The sequence below is a fragment of the Homo sapiens genome, chromosome 17, assembly GCF_000001405.40.
Source record: "Homo sapiens chromosome 17, GRCh38.p14 Primary Assembly".
Taxonomy (NCBI): domain Eukaryota; kingdom Metazoa; phylum Chordata; class Mammalia; order Primates; family Hominidae; genus Homo; species Homo sapiens.
Genome location: NC_000017.11, coordinates 74,223,034 through 74,238,356, shown reverse-complemented (window position 1 = coordinate 74,238,356; position 15,323 = coordinate 74,223,034). Strand labels below are relative to the sequence as shown.

Sequence of the window (15,323 nt, the reverse complement as noted above, 5' to 3'; positions counted from 1 at the left end):
TCCACGCTTAGGCCCAGGCCCTGGGAGCACAATGACTTGTAGGTCAGAGCCTCCCCTGATGGCAACTTCTTAGCACCCTTAGCCGGGTGCTCATCTCCTCAACCCCCCATAACCCTGTGGCTGTGTCTGTGGATACAAGAAATCCTGTCCCATGAACTCTGGCAGGCGAGGAACCTATGAAGCATGTGGCGTTTCCACCCTGCACCAGCCACGAAGAATGCTAGTCCCAGAGAAGCACCCCACCGTGTGCGGGAGGCTGAGGCCAGGTCCAGCCTTTGGCGCGGGGAGTGTGAGCACATCCCTGTCCTCTGTAGCCTCTGCTGCCTATCTATTAAGGAGGCTATCCTGCATGCTCACCACGTGGCCCCTGTAAGCCCCCATGTTCTCCTGATTTTGGCCAATGGCTTATCAAGACTTTCTGGTGGGCTGGGCATGGTGGCTCACGCCTGTAATCCCAGCACTTTGGGAGGCTGAGGCCAGTGGATCACTTGAGGCCAGGAGCTCGAGAGACTAGCCTGGCCAACATGGTGAAACTCTGTCTCTACTAAAAATACAAAAATTAGTCTGGCGTGGCGGCACACACCTGTAGTCCCAGCTACTTGGGAGGGAGGCTGAGGCAAGAGAATCTCTTGAACCCCGGAGGTAGAGATTGTAGTGAGCTGAGATCGTGCCACTTCACTCCAGCCTGGGCAACAGAGCAAGACTCTGTCTTAAAAAAACAAAACAAAAAAAAAATACTTTCCAGTGGCCCTTCTCCACCTGGAGCTCAACATGCAGGTTTGGATAAACAAAGCTGATGTAGCCGCTGCTGCCCCTCCCTCTGCCTCCCACCGGTCCTTCACCTGTAGTACTCCACGTAGCCAGTCTGGTCGGATAGCTTGGTCAGCTCCATGGTGACCTCCCTCCACACGGGCAGTCCTGAGAGCTGAACAACAACGCTGCCCGCCATCTGCTGTATGAACTTCAGGGTCTGCAGGTAATCGCCCCGGGCAGCAAAGATCTCACTGAGCCGGGCCAGGTGCTGCTCTAGGTCCACCTTCATCTTCTGGGTAGTTCCGGAAACCTAGGGAGGAGCAGGGGGCAAAAGCCATGGAGGTAGAGCTTCTGATTCTCATCCCGGAAGAGGTCTTTGCAGGCAGCAGAAGGTGGCCTGGCCAGGTGCGATAATTACGCTCATGCCTGTCATCCCAGCACTTCGGGAGGCTGAGGCAGGCGGATTGCTTGAACCCAGGAGTTTGAGACCAGCCTGGGCAACACAGTGAGACCCTGTCTCTACAAAAAAATATATAAAAATTAGCCAGGTGTGGTGGCATGTACCTATAGTCCTAGCTACTTGGGAGGTTGAGGCAGGACAATCACTTGGACCCGGGAGGCGGAGTCTGCAATGAGTCAAGATCGCACCATTGCACTCCAGCCTGGGCGACAAGAGTGATACTCTGTGTCGAAAAAAAAAAAAAAAAAGCTGGCCTGGCCTGCTTAGGCATGAATGAACACACCATGCTGCCCCAGGCCTGAAGATCTCGAGCCTGTGCCCCTGGAGGAAGGACTGAAGACAGAGGCCGCCACTACCCACCCAGTCCTCATGTCCCTCAAACCAGGGGGCAGTCCCTGACCTGGCCTTAAACAGGATCTGGGCTCCGAGAGAGAGAATGCTGGCGCCAAAGGAGCACACCATTATGTGTTGCAGGCTGAGGCCAGGTCTAGCCTCTGGCGCTGGGAGTGTGGGCACATCCCTGCCCTCTGGAGCCTCTGTTGCTCTCTACTAAGGAGGCTATCCTGTGTGCCCACCACGTGGCCCCTGCTGTAAAGGGCTGGAATAAACGTATGCATTCATTACTATACCTTACTATATACAGAGACACCCAGATGGAGAAACCAACAAAATAATCCATTATTCTTTGAAGATTCTCTTAAAACTTTCAGCACTTTGGCTTACAAATTCTCTTTTAGAGAAACAGACTCTATGTTGCTACCTTGACCTTGTATCCCCACAATAGGATTTCTAATTGTTCTATAAGAGAAAAGCTTTGTTGTGGCACTAGCCGCAGCACACCGGGTCCTGAACGCTGAGTGAAGGCAGGACAATGGGACTTTGCAAAAACAAAAACAGCTGCGATCCTGTCTCTGAGGAGCCTGGACATGAGGCAGGAGGAGGAAACCGGCGCCTTCTCCTTGTATTCACATCCTCCCCTGGATGTGTGTCCTGCTGGGTGGGCAGACAGGCTCCTGTCCCTTGGCTGAGCCCTAAGGGCCTGGGGTTGAGTGGACCCTGAAGGAAACATCTGCCAATGCAAGACAGAAATAGAAAGTTGACGGCTGGCCATCCAGTTAAAAACATTATTTATTTATTTATATTTAAAGGTACTGCTCCTTGCAGAGCAGGGCTACCCTCTAGGCAGTGTGCCAGAGTAGCCCGTTCATCCATTTCTTTCTTTCTCTTTTTTGTTTTTTTTTTTTTTTTGAGATGGAGTCTCGCTCTGTGTCACCCAGGCTGGAGTGCAGTGGTGCAATCTTGGCTCACTGCAACCTCCGCCTCCCGGGTTCAAGTGATTCTCCTGCCTCAGCCTCCCTCCCAAGTAGCTAGGACTACAGGTGTGCACCACCATGCCCGGCTAATTTTTGTATTTTTAGTGGAGACAGTTTCACCATGTTGGCCAGGCTGGTCTCTCGAGCTCCTGGCCTCAAGTGATCCACCCACCTCGGCCTCCCAAAATGCTGGGATTGCAAGCATGAGCCACCACGCCCGGCCATGTGCATCCATTTCTAATGGTCCAAGTGGTCAACCCTAGCTGGCTTTTGAAGAGCACAGGCAGGGCTCGTACTGGTTAGCGGGACTTTCCCACAGCCCAGACCCAGGGTGCCTGCAGAACCCCGGGGTGCAGCTTGGCAGCCCCAAGCACGCCCTTGCTGGCAGCGAGCGGAGAAAGGGCTTTGTTGTTCTGAAACTGTCACACTAAACCAAGAAGCACAACGGGCCGGGAGTGGGGCAGTGTGCACTAATCCACACTCGGCAGCCTTCAGCTCCCACGGGTCTGGGAGATAAAAACGACACAGAAGAAGAGGCAGAAACTTCCCACAGTGAGATCAGCAAGGCCGATTAGATTCCACTCTCGGAGGCCAACGGTGTTCTCTGTGTTATGGGGACTTCACATCAGCTGTGTGGCCTTTTACATCTGCGCTACGCTGGGAGTTCCTAGTTCCAGAAAAGAGAATGGCTCTCTTTGTTTCATTTTGTTTTATTTTTTCAGTGTCAGCGGCTTGTTCCGTTTTCTGGCTTATGCTTGGTTCTTACGAGTTGGTTAAGGACTAAGAGATACCAGAGTACGGAGACACTCTACCATGTGCAGATTCGACAGCCCGAAGCACAGGGGAAAAGACCCCAAACCATGTAAAAGTACATTCAGTAACTAAATGTCATGCTAGTACACTTGGCTGTTCAATTTAATAAGATAAATGTACAACCACTTTGGAAACATTTATACAAATGGCACTATCATCAAAGAATAGTGCCATTCTGAACAAACCCAGTAATAGGTGACATTTCTATATTTCTATATTTCTATAAATCAAACAAACTTCAGAGTAAAGGGCTGTTAAAAAATTATCTGTAAACTTTTTCTGTGAGGCCACTTGTTTTCTCCCTCACAGTTCTACTCTCTCACAGTTAACTTCTCTATTTCTTAAACTCCTCCTTAGGGGGAAAAAAAAAGAAGGCAGTATTTGTATTTGTCATGCCTTCTCTTTCTTCCTGATATTTTCCCACAGGAAACAAAACTAAAAAATTGTTTTTTTGAGATGGGGTCTCGCTATGCTGCCCAGGCTGTTCTTGAACTCCTAGGCTCAAAAGATCCTAAAATTTTAAAAAATAAGAATGACAGCAGTGACCTACTTACAACTCCCCACTTCTCTATACCATCCCCAATTCCTTAAAGTTTCAGGACATAATACTCCCCGCAGGGACAGGTGGGATGACCCAGAGATGGAATCAGGCTCTCTCTCACGGAAAGCTCTGAGAACAGGAGGGACAGGTCAGTTTTCCAGGCTGGGCAGACTTAGGGACGAGCTACAGGTGGCGGAGACCACGGTCTAGAGGAAAGAGCAGTTCTCAAGTGTGGTCCCGGGACTAGGGGCGTAAGATGCACCCCCTGGGAACTCACTCACAAAAGCAAAAGCTCTCAGCCCTGCCCCAGGACCGCTGAAGCGGAACCTCTGGGGGCAGGGCCCTGCAATCAGTGTTTACCAACCCTTCCAGGTGATTCTGATGCAAGCTCAAGTATGAAAACTTCTGGGAGGGAGGACTCTCCAGCGCTCAGTGAGCTTATCTGGAAGTGTGGATGGGCCAGGTCAGTGGAGGTAAGGGGCTAAGACCAGGAGGCCTGGGTTCTGGTTTCTGCTCTGAAACATACACATTTTCAACCTCGGGTCAGCAATGCAACCTCCCTGTGCCTCAGTTTCTACATCTGAGGGCTGCCCATCAGCCTGCTGCAGACTCACATGAGAGAGCCTGGAGGGGCCGTGCTGGCTACCAGGTACAGGAAGTTTTGGTATCCCAAAACGACTCCTCTCTACTCCCCTAGACTGGGGCGTGCAGCCCTCCCAGGACCGCCTGATCCCTGAACCACCGCCCCTACCCACCAAGGCACAGGTGTCCCTCTAGTTGGACGTGCATAGGTATGGGGCTTCCAGTCCAGGAAAGGAGGACTTGGAGCAGGGCCCACCCCACTCTGTGGGTGCATCCCTAGAGGGCTTCTTGTTGGCCACTCAGCTGCATGATCTGGCCTCTGGCAAGGCCCAGATCCAGGTCCTGCCTGACCTGTCGACGAGTCCCCCATCTGCCTCTGCCGCCCACAGCGTCCTGGATCCCAGCCTCCCGCTGACCCCAAGGTGATTACAGTAATTAATAGCACTCATAATCACAGTCATACAGCTGAGTGTACTTTACAGTCTACCAGCACTTTCACTGACATTATCTCACTAGTCATTTATCTGATATCCGGACTTCTCCCCTTGGATCTGGGAAGTCTTCTAAGATCTGCTGCCTCCCCTGGAGCCCTGAGGACTGGTGTGCTGGGTGTCCACTCTGAGGCCCAAACCAGCCTCACAGGTCCTAGTAAGGACCCAGTGCCACCTTTCCACCTGGAGGCAAGGCAGCAGCTACACCTGGGCCCTAGGGGTTCACGCCAGAGGGGGAGGTGACCACCCACAGGCTGGAGGCAGCTATGGGCTGGCTGGACCAGTGTGAAGCCCTGGGACTCCTGACCTCACTTCTCGGTAACAACGGAGAGGACGAGGGGCTGATCTCCAGGGATACAGAACCCTTCTCTTTGGGAACACAGGGGATTTCAGAGAGTGGGGCCTGCTGTGAAATGTCCAAACCTGGCCCTGGAGCAGGGATTTCAGAGAGTGGAACCTGCTGTGAAATGTCCAAACCTGGCCCTGGAGCACCATCAGGCCATGGGGTGGGAGGCCCCAGCCTGGGGGCCCGTTCCAGCTCCCCTCCCTGGCAGCTCTCGTCCTGTGGGATAGGGACTTCTAGGACTTGATGTTTTCCCATAAGGGAGTTCTGGGAGTTTCTCTAAACCCGTGAAGGTCATGGCCCTGGTGCCTTCCTGGGCAGGGCAGGGGATTTTCCTCTCGGGGCTAGGTTCCTCCTCCAGTGATCCTGGTGCTGGTGGGTGAAGAGGAGGCAGGCAGCAGGATGGCAGGGAGGGGCAGAGAGAGCCTAGAGGGCAGTGACCATGGGGCCCTTCCCCACCAGGGCCTGGGGCAAGGGTGGGTGCCCAGAGGGAGAGTTCTCCCCAGGCAGGCCACACCTCTGCCTCCCAGGCCTGAGCTGGCTGTCCCTCAGCTCCTCCAACCCAGCCGCCCCAGCTCACCGCGCAAGGCTGTTCCAGACTAGCATCTCCGCACTGGGACTCAGCGCTCAGCTAAGGGGATGGGTCCCAGTGGACACGGGCGGTGGAATGAACTCTGCAAAGGACCAGGGCCCCTGGTTTTGTAGCCACCCTCAGCCCCTTTCTGGAGGCCAGGGCCTCCTCCCACAATTGACTTGGGCACGGAGGAGCAGCACAGCTGTCTCTTTAAGGTGACACCCCCGACCCCCCTTGTTGACTGAGGGATTAAAGCCTTAGAGGAGCTTAAGGGAGCAGGAGGGGGGCAAATGGGGTCCAATCCTCTTCTGGAGGATGCCGGGGCAATGGCCAAATTCTCCTGTTGGGGCTGGATTTTGTGGCAGAGGCTGCTCGGATAAGCAGCTGAAAAGGTCTGGTGCTTAGAGTGAGAATGACGTGTGTGGGGGCCAAGGTCAAACTGTGGGAAAACTCCAATTCCAGGCAGCTGGGGTAGAAAAGGCAGAGGCAGTTTTCAGGGAACCAAGTCCTCAGATGTCCACCCTTGTCGTGCTCCTCCCTGGGCCAGGTCCCCAGCAGAGGGGTGGCAGCCCCAGCAAAAGGCTCGTGTGTATCAGGCAGCGTCTGCCACAAAATCCAGCCCTGGCTTGGCAGAGTAGCCTTCCCCTTCCCCTAAGAGTCTGACACCTCCTCTGGCCAGGCCAGAGCATCCTTCACTGTGAGCCCCCACCTGGAGTCACTGCCTGGAAGCCAGAGCTCCGAGGAGCTGGGGCAGGTCTCCACTACCTTACATCACGGGGCTCTTCAATTTTTTTTTTTTCTTTAATTTTTGAGATGGAGTCTCATTCTGTTGCCCAGGCTGGAGTGTGGTGGCGTGATCTTGGCTCACTGCAACCTCCGCTTCCCAGGCTCAAGTGATCTCCCTGCCTCAGCCTCCCAAGTAGCTGGAACCACACCACAACTGGCTAATTTTTGTATTTTTGGTACAGACAGGGTTTTGCCATGTTGCCCAGGCTGGTCTCAAACTCCTGAGCTCCACATGCCTTGGCCTCCCTCAAAGTGCTGGGAAGACAGGAGTGAGCCACCACGCCCAGCCCTCAGTTGTCTCTGAAGAGAGTTTTTTCCTCTTGGCATCTCCTGGACCTTGCAATACTCCATATGCAGCACTTAAAATGAAAACAAAAAATGCAGTGGGGCTGATTTTCCATGTTCAAGGTCTCCTTTGACAAATCAGAAAGTGTTCGGCTTGTTGGAAAATGGGGTTTGATCCCACAGCTGCCTCCTTTAGTCCTCACCCCCATCCCTGCCACCCCTGCAGGCTTGGAACGCACAATTGCCCATTTGCCCCAGCAGAGGCAACTGCAGCGCAGGCGGGGGTCCAGCCCTCAGGCGTCACACAGCCCCTCCGTGTGCAGCTGAGCTAGCTGGGATCTGACGGGGGCCCTTGCTCTGACCACGCTGACCTTGTGGGCTGTGCCTGTACCCGGCCAGCTGCCCGGGAGCCTTACCAGAGCATCGATCCCAGAGAAGGTGTGGTTGGCATCGTCCAAGGAGTACATCAGCTGGTACGCCCCATCGTTGGTCTCGCTGTTTCCATAGAAACCAACGCCCACCGCAGCACTATAAGCAAGATCCCAAACAGAGGTTAGAGGTGATACACAGAGGAGAATGTTTGCTTATATTAAAAAATAAGCTTAGGGTTGGGTGCGGTGGCTCATGCCTGTAATCCCAGCTACTCAGGAGGTTGAGTTGAGGCATAGAATTGCTTGAACCCAGGAGGTGGAGGTTGCAGTGAGCCAAGATCATGGCACTGCACTCCCTCCTGGGTGACAGAGCTAGACTCTGTCTCCAAAAAAAAAAAAAAGCTTGTTTTTAGAGCAGTTTTAGGTTCACAGCAAAATTAAGTGGACAGTAGAGAGTTCCCATATATCTGCTGCCCCACACACGCACAGCCTCTTACTCCACCCTAAAACCCTGCACCAGAGTGGTACATCCATTACAACTGATGAGCCCAGATGCACACATCATCACCCAGAGCCCACAGCTTCCACTAGGGTTCATTCTCAGCGTTGCACATTCTATAGGTTTGGACATATGGATAATGACATGTGTTGGCTGGGTGTGGTGGCTCACGCCTGTGATCCCAACACTTTGGGAGGCTGAGGCGGATAGGTCGCTTGAGCCCAGGAGTTGGAGACCAGCCTGCGCAACGTAGTGAGACCCTATCTCTGCAAAAATTAAAAAAAAAAATGAAAAAATGACGTGTCCACCATTACCATATCATACAGGGTAGTTTCACTGCCCTAAAATTCCTCTGTGCTCTGCCCATTAAGTACCCCCTCCCCTCTAACCCCTTTATTTTTATTTTTATTTTTTTGAGACAGAGTTTCGCTCTGTTGCCCAGGCTGGAGTGCAATGGCGCTATCTCAGCTCACTGTAACCCCCGACTCCTGGGTTTAAGTGATTCTCCTGCCTCAGCCTCCTGAGTAGCTGAGATTACAGGTGTCCGCCACCACGCCTGGCTAATTTTTGTATTATTAGTAGAAAGGAGGTTTCACCATGTTGGCCAGGCTGGTCTTGAACTCCTGACCTCAGGTGATCCACCTGCCTTGGCCTCCCAAAGTGCTGGGATTACAGGCGTGAGCCACTGCACCTGGCCTTAACCCTTGACCTTTTCACTTTCTCCTTAGTTTTGCCTTTTTCAGAATGTCATAGAGTTGAAACGATACAGTGTGGAGCATTTTCGGACTGGCTTCTTTCGCTTAGTAATATGGATTTAAGATTCTTCCATGACTTATTCCAGCTTGAAAACTCATTTTTTTCAGTGCTGAATAATATTTCATTGTCTGGATGGACCACAGCTTATCCATTCACCTGTTAAAGACATCTTCGTTGCTTCCAAGTTCTGGCAATTCTGAATACAGCTGCTGTGAACATCTATGGAGAGCAGGTTTTTGACTTGAGCTGAGGAACTCTTTCCTGGGGGCTGCGGTGAGTAGGTGGATGACATCTCACATTCTGGCAGGTGGGGCTGGGGGTGGGGAGGTGAAGGTTCAGGGTCCCTGGCAGGCTGGTTCTACAGGACATTTTATTTGGGCAATAGGAAAATACTGTCCTCTAGTCCTAAGACTCCAAAAGTTGGGAGACTGTAGCCAGCCCAAGGGATGCTGATGCAGTAGATCTGGGGAGGGCCTAGGTTACCTGCACTTTTACCAGCCCCCAGGGGATTCTGACACAGGTGGGCCTGGGAATCGCTGAGGTCTACTGAGATCACATACTCATTGCCAACCTTGGGTCTCTCTTGACACCTCCAGGAATTGTGGACTCTCTCGACATCCTCCACCCTTTCCCCCAACATCCTCAGGCCACCCATGTCACAGTCTGTTCTTCCACTGTGAACTCCCAACTTATAGAATGTTCCTTCTTCTACTGAGCTGACACCTGCCTCCTTAAACCACTCACCCCCTGGATCTTCATTTGTCTTCTAGGGCAGCCTGGAAGAAGTTTCCAGTTCTGCACCGTGCCCCATCAGACAGCTGAACCTGGCTTCCTCATAACCCTCTCACCTCATGCTCTCCAAGTGGGCAGGTGTCCTTCTTGGGACTAAGGTTTCAGACCCTTGCCCATGCCATCACTGTCCTCCAAATGAAAGTCTAATTGGTTAATGTCACTCTTAAATGTGGCCTGAGTGAGTCACTCAAGTCCAGGTTGTTCATCAGCTCTGAGCGCAGCAGGGGTCATGCCTTAGGTCCTCCACTTCCCAGGGCACTGACCTGAACTTGCACCCGCCCTGGTTCCCCCCGCCCCCCACTGATCTTGTGGTCTACAAACAGCCCCTGAATTTCTTCCCAAGAATTGCTGTTAAGCCCAGTCTCTCCTCCTTCCTATAGTGCTGTATTGATTTTTGTGTTGTTTTAACCAAAAGCAGAACTTTAAATCTATCCCTGTGAAATCTCATCTAGTTGGTTTTAGTCCAACATTCCAGCATGAACAAATCATTTCAAATCTTGACTCTTGTCATCCATCATATTCCATCTGACCTGCACCACTTGAGACCATCTGAAGATTGATTAAGCAGCCTCCTGAGTTTTCATCCAAAATGCTCATTTGGGTTGGGGTGGGGGGAGATGAATGTACACGTCCACACTTATATTTGTTCTGTTGTTCTTTAAACAACACAGGATCTAGGACGGAACCCCCTGGAGGACTGTGATAGAAACCTCCTACCAGGCGCAGTGGCTCATGCCTGTAATCCTAGCACTTTGGGAGGCTGAGGCAGGCAGATCATCTGAGGTCAGGAGTTCAAGACCAGCCTGGCCAACATGGCGAAACCCCATCTCTACTAAAAATGCAAAAATTAGCTGGGCGTGGTGGCGCATGCCTGTAATCCCAGCTACTCGGGAGACTGAGGCAGGAGAATCGCTAGAACCCAGGAGGAGGAGGTTGCAGGGAGCAACGATTGCACCATTTCACTCCAGCCTGGGAGACAGAGCAAGACTCTATCTCAAAAAAAAAAAAAAAAAAGAAAGAAAAGAAAAGAAACCTCCTTCCAGGGCGCCCTCAACTCCTAATTTAGTGTTTTTCAGGATGTGGTCCTCAGACCACGGGAACAGAATCACCTGGGGAGCCTGTTAAGTGCAGATAAGCAGCCCGGCCCATTCCATCAGTGTGGTCTGGGAATGTGCCTTTTAAAATGAGGTTCCTGTATCATCCAAGATGGGGGGGCAGGAGACATTAAAAAAAAAACAAAAAAAAAAACAAGGTTCCTGCATGCTTTACGTATCTCTGTCTCTCTCTTACACACACCCCCTCTACAGTTTAGAAATCCACTGCATAAGTCAATATTCATTGGGTTCAACCAGAGTTGTGTAACTAGCTTTGAACCCAGTTAAATGCACCATCATAGAAAATGCAACTGTATCCACACAGAGGGGAGGAGCTTCACCAAGTGCTCAGCTGAGATATTTATACATTAAATGAATTGTCTTCCCGTGACCCTCCAATTTGTAACTTTATTTAAAAGAAAATGAACCAATTGTATTGTGCTCTGAGAAGCCCTTTTGTCGACTCCTTGTGTTCATCCTTTTCTAGCTCTCTGAGTCACGATTTAGTGTTTTCCAGGGATTCAATATGAAGCCAGCATTTTCCCATCCTTCTATTCTCTCGGGCCCTGTGGGTTTATCAGCGATGGGCCAGGAGGGGCTGTGAAATTACACCTCATCTTTGGGGATCAGAAATCGCCTTGGGGCTCAAGCCTGTAATCCCAGCACTTTGGGAGGCTGAGGCAGGCAGATCACCTGAGGTCAAGAGTTTGAGACCAGCCTGGCCAACATGGCAAAACCCCATCTCTACTAAAAATAAAAAAATTAGCGGGGCATGGTGGCGAGTGCCTGTAATCCCAGCTACTCAGGAGGCTGAGGCAGGAGAATCTCTTGAACCTGGGAGGCAGAGGTTGCAGTGAGCTGAGATCGTGCCACTGCACTCCAGCCTGGGCGACAGAGTGAGACTCTGTCAAAAAGGAAAGGAAAGGAAAAAGGAAAGGAAAGGAAGAGAAAAGAAAGGAAAGAAAGAAAAATCGCCTTGGCTGTTTAATGAGGTTCTCCTGGTCTCTCCTGGGGTCATTGATCCCACCTGGGCCATAGGAAAAACTGTTCTGCTTGAGGGAGAATAAGCGAGTTGGTGGTGTTGCTTTCCCCCTGGTGTGTTCACACTACTCTTTCCCAAATATAAAATCACTACCCTTCCCCCATAATAGAGGAGAACAAAGAGGTATATCCTCCTATCCCTTTTGCTTTTTCAGGAACCCCTTGTTGGTCTTTTCTTCTGCGGATTCAATCCCCCGCTTTCAGGTGGAATCACATCAGCAGAGCTCATGTGTCCTCCCACCTCAGTGCCCCAACCTTTACCTCCATCCCTTCTCCTGCTGCTGTCCCGACTCTCCTTCCTGCCCCTCCCATAACTCACACCAATCTGGCTGTTCCTGTGTCCCAGTGGACGCAGCTCCAAGGAAGGCGACCAATGACCTCCCACTTAACCCAAGGGTTTTTCCCAACCCCCCTCCCACGTGCAGTGGTCAGCTTGGTTCCTCTTCCTGGAACACGCTGCCCAGTGACTCCTGTGCCCTTGTGGCATTCCCAGCCCTTCCTTGTGGGACACTCTTTCCTGGTCTCCTTCACAGGCACCTTTTGCGTCCTAGCTGTTAAACACTGTGCTTCCTCCAGGCTTGGCCCCAGCCCCCTTCTCTTCTCACTCTGTGCTTCCTATGGCAGGTCACCCATGTGTGTGACTTCCACACTGGCCACCCTCATGACCCTGGCTTTATAACTCCAACTGCACTTGGATGGTTCAAAGGCACCTTAAACTCAATCTGTGTACAACCAAACTGACTGTCTGCTTCTCTTCCCGGTTCCCTGCCAATGTCCCTTGCCTTGGAGGATAGCACTGCCACCCCATCCGGGGGCTTAAGCCAGAAACCTGCAGATGAACTTCAGCAGCTCCTCCCCAAACCTCCCTAGCTGACTCTTCCTCTGGGCACTCCCCTCTGGTCACTGCCCACGCCCAGGTGTAAGCCCGCTGCTCTCCAGCTGGGCCTCCCTGATGGCCTGATTTTACTCTTGCCCGCATCTATGCGACCCTCTGCCTGGACCTGTCCCTCCTCTGTCCCCTGCCCTGTTCTCCATTACAGGGGTTGATCCCTCACACGGAATGTCTCGGGCTCCCCTGCCAGCTGGCTTCTGCCGATGGAGGTGCTGGTAGGAGACTGGAGGTGGTGGTAAGGCAGCCAGGGCCCTGCTCCCCTCGTTCTGCAGCCGCTGATAGGCAGGCTGTGTGGCTCCAGCTTCCCTGGTGACATAGCCTCTCCCTGTGTCCCTCTGGCCTGCAGGTGGTGGTGGCTCCTGCTATTGCTAATCCCAAGGTCGCTCACTGCCCTCATTAGGCCTCTGAGCTCTTCGGTCACCCGGTGGCCACTTCTTCACATTCAAGTCCCACTGTTCCGAATACTCCCGCCGGCCTGGGTTACATTCAACTTGAGTTATCGGGTCACGCTACCTCTTTGCAGAGCCCCTGCAGTGGCTCCCCTGGCTCTTAGAATAAAGACCCCGACCCCTCACAAAGCCTATGAGTTGCTTCATGGTTTGAATCCCATCTGCCCCCTGTGTCTTCTGACCCCGTGACACTTTCCCCATCCCACTGCCACTCATTGCTCACCCCGACCCTCGACAGTGCCCCCAACCCCCTCATCTGCTCCCTCTGCTCTGGCCACATTGGCTTCCTTTAGCCCCATGCTCGCTCCTGCCTCTGGGCCTTTGCACGTTCCTCTTCCCTCTGCCTGGAGGTGTCTCCGCCTCCCCTGCCCCCACCTTTGCCAAGTTAACGCCTTCTCATCCTATGGGTTTGGGTGCCCATGTCACCCAGGAACGCCTGGACTCAGGTGGGCCATCCACTTCTATGCCTGCTCCTTTCCTTCAGAGCTCTCTCCTTAGTTTTTTGGTTGTTTTTTTTTTTTTTGAGACGGAGTCTGACTCTGTAGCCCAGGCTAGAATGCAATGGCGCAATCTCGGCTCACTGCAACCCCTGCCTCCCGGGTTCAAATGATACTCCTGCCTCAGCCTCCCAAGTAGCTGAGGTTACAGGCACTCGCCACCACGCCCAGCTAATTTTGTATTTTTAGTAGAGACAGGGTTTCACCATGTTGGTCAGGCTGGTGTCGAACTCCTGACCTCAAGTGATCCACCCACCTTGGCCTCCCAAAGTGCTGGGATTATAGGCGTGAGCCACCACGCCCAGCCCTCTCTCTTTAGTTGCAATGATTCAAAGCAAACTGGTACACAGTTCTCAGCCTCTGCTGACAGATCATGAAAGCAGACTTGGTGCCTGTTTTCTTACTGCTGGTGCCCTCTTGCCTGGTACAAGTCACGCCCAGAATGTTGTGGGATGGATTCTGCCACGCACATTCCTTCCACCTTGAGTTTTCCCTACACTGCAGATAATTCTTCCATATTAGAAGAATTGACTCCTCATGCCATTCTTACTGTTCCAAAGTATTCTTCCAAAACAAGTTTGTCGTGTGGGTATCTGTGTGTGTGCATGTATGTGTGTATCTGTGTGTGTGTGTGTGTGTAAGAGACAGGGTCTCACATCACCCAGGCTAGAGTGCGATGGAGCGATCATGGCTCACTGTAGCCTCTGCCTCCTGGGCTCATCATCCTCCTGCCTCAGTCAGGACTACAAGCATGCACTACCATGCCTGGCTCATTTTTGTAGAGGTGAGGTCTCACTACATTGCCCAAGGTGATCTCGAACTCCTGAGCTCAGGCGATCCACCCGCCTTGGCCTCCCAAAGTGCTGGGATTACAGGCATGAGTCACCGCGCCCGGCCATGCAGGAGGATTTTTAACACCAGTCACTTCTCAAAGCTCTTCCACTGTACTGGGAACCGCACTCGACTGTGACCTCCCGGCCTGTCCAGAACTCTGTCCTCTGAGTCTCTTATTTCAGCCCCGGCCATGTATTGCAGCAGCCTTGGTCCCCTTCCTTGTGCTCAGAGCTTTGTCCGCCCCACAAGGCTGCTTTAGCGTCTCGCCTGCGTTTTGGCTTAGGTGAGCCTCCCACTACAGGCAGGACGAGATCAAGAACATCTTCCAACAGAGAAGAAACTCGCAGTGGCAAGGTGAGCTGCCTGGGTATGAGAGCCCAGGCATCCTCACCCCCAGGCTGACCAGGACCTGCCTGGCTGCCAGCCTGCTGCCAGGTAGTGGGAGACTCTACTCTCTGGGGTGACCACACCCCAGAAGCGTCTCTGCGTGGACACTAGAGGCTTTTGGAAAAATCATTATAGATTTAAAAACAAGAAAAACGCAACAACTCCTGAAAACAGCCAGCATGCATGTGGACGCCAGCTGGGGTGGAGTGGCCAGGCAGTGTGGTGGGCTGGGTATGGACTCCTGCACGGGAGTTATAAATCCTCACTTTAAGGCCCAGCATGGTGGCTCATGCCTGTAATCCCAGTGCTTTGGGAAGCTGAGGGGGGAGCAATGTCTGAGGCCAGAAGTTGAAGACCAGCCTGAGCAACATAGTCTCAGCCCAGGTGTAGTGCCTCACGCCTGTAATCCCAGCACTTTTGGAGGCTGAGGCAGGTGGATCACTTGAGCTCAGCAGTTTGAGATCAGCCTGGGGAACTTGATGAAAGCCTGTCTCTTCCCCGCCCACCCCCCGCCCCCCAAAAAAAAAGCCAGGCAGGCATGGTGGTGTGCACCTGTAGTCCCAGCCACTTGGGAGGCTGAGGTGGGAGGATTGCTTAAGCCTAGGAGTTTGTGGCTGCAGTGAGCTGTGATCGCACCACTGCACTCTAGCCTGGGTAACAGAGTGAGACCCCATCTTTAAAATAAATAAATAAAAGAAATTCTCCCTTCCTCATCCAAACCAAAGAACTGGCTAACGGCACTAAAAGCTATTGATCTCACAAGAAGATGG

General features: G+C 52.5%; 1 protein-coding gene across 2 annotated transcripts in view, besides 1 other annotated feature; it reads right to left on the bottom strand.

Annotated features, from left to right (window-relative positions):
- The window catches only part of TTYH2 (tweety family member 2), a 48,450-nt gene that overhangs the window by 23,664 nt on the left and 9,463 nt on the right, over positions 1 to 15,323 (bottom strand). For both annotated transcript variants that reach the window (NM_032646.6, NM_001330453.2), the window contains exons 3-4: positions 7,358 to 7,469; positions 843 to 1,063 (exon numbers count right to left, since the gene is read on the bottom strand). In NM_032646.6, the coding sequence (NP_116035.5) occupies positions 843 to 1,063; positions 7,358 to 7,469 (333 nt within the window). The remainder of the gene's footprint in view (positions 1 to 842; positions 1,064 to 7,357; positions 7,470 to 15,323) is intronic.
- Positions 13,852 to 14,385: an enhancer, noted in NCBI's record as "H3K4me1 hESC enhancer chr17:72220111-72220644 (GRCh37/hg19 assembly coordinates)". NCBI's record gives its function as "activates a minimal SCP1, AML or CMV promoter by ChIP-STARR-seq in naive H9 embryonic stem cells {active_cell/tissue: H9 hESC(naive)}" and the evidence as "EXISTENCE:reporter gene assay evidence [ECO:0000049][PMID:30033119]".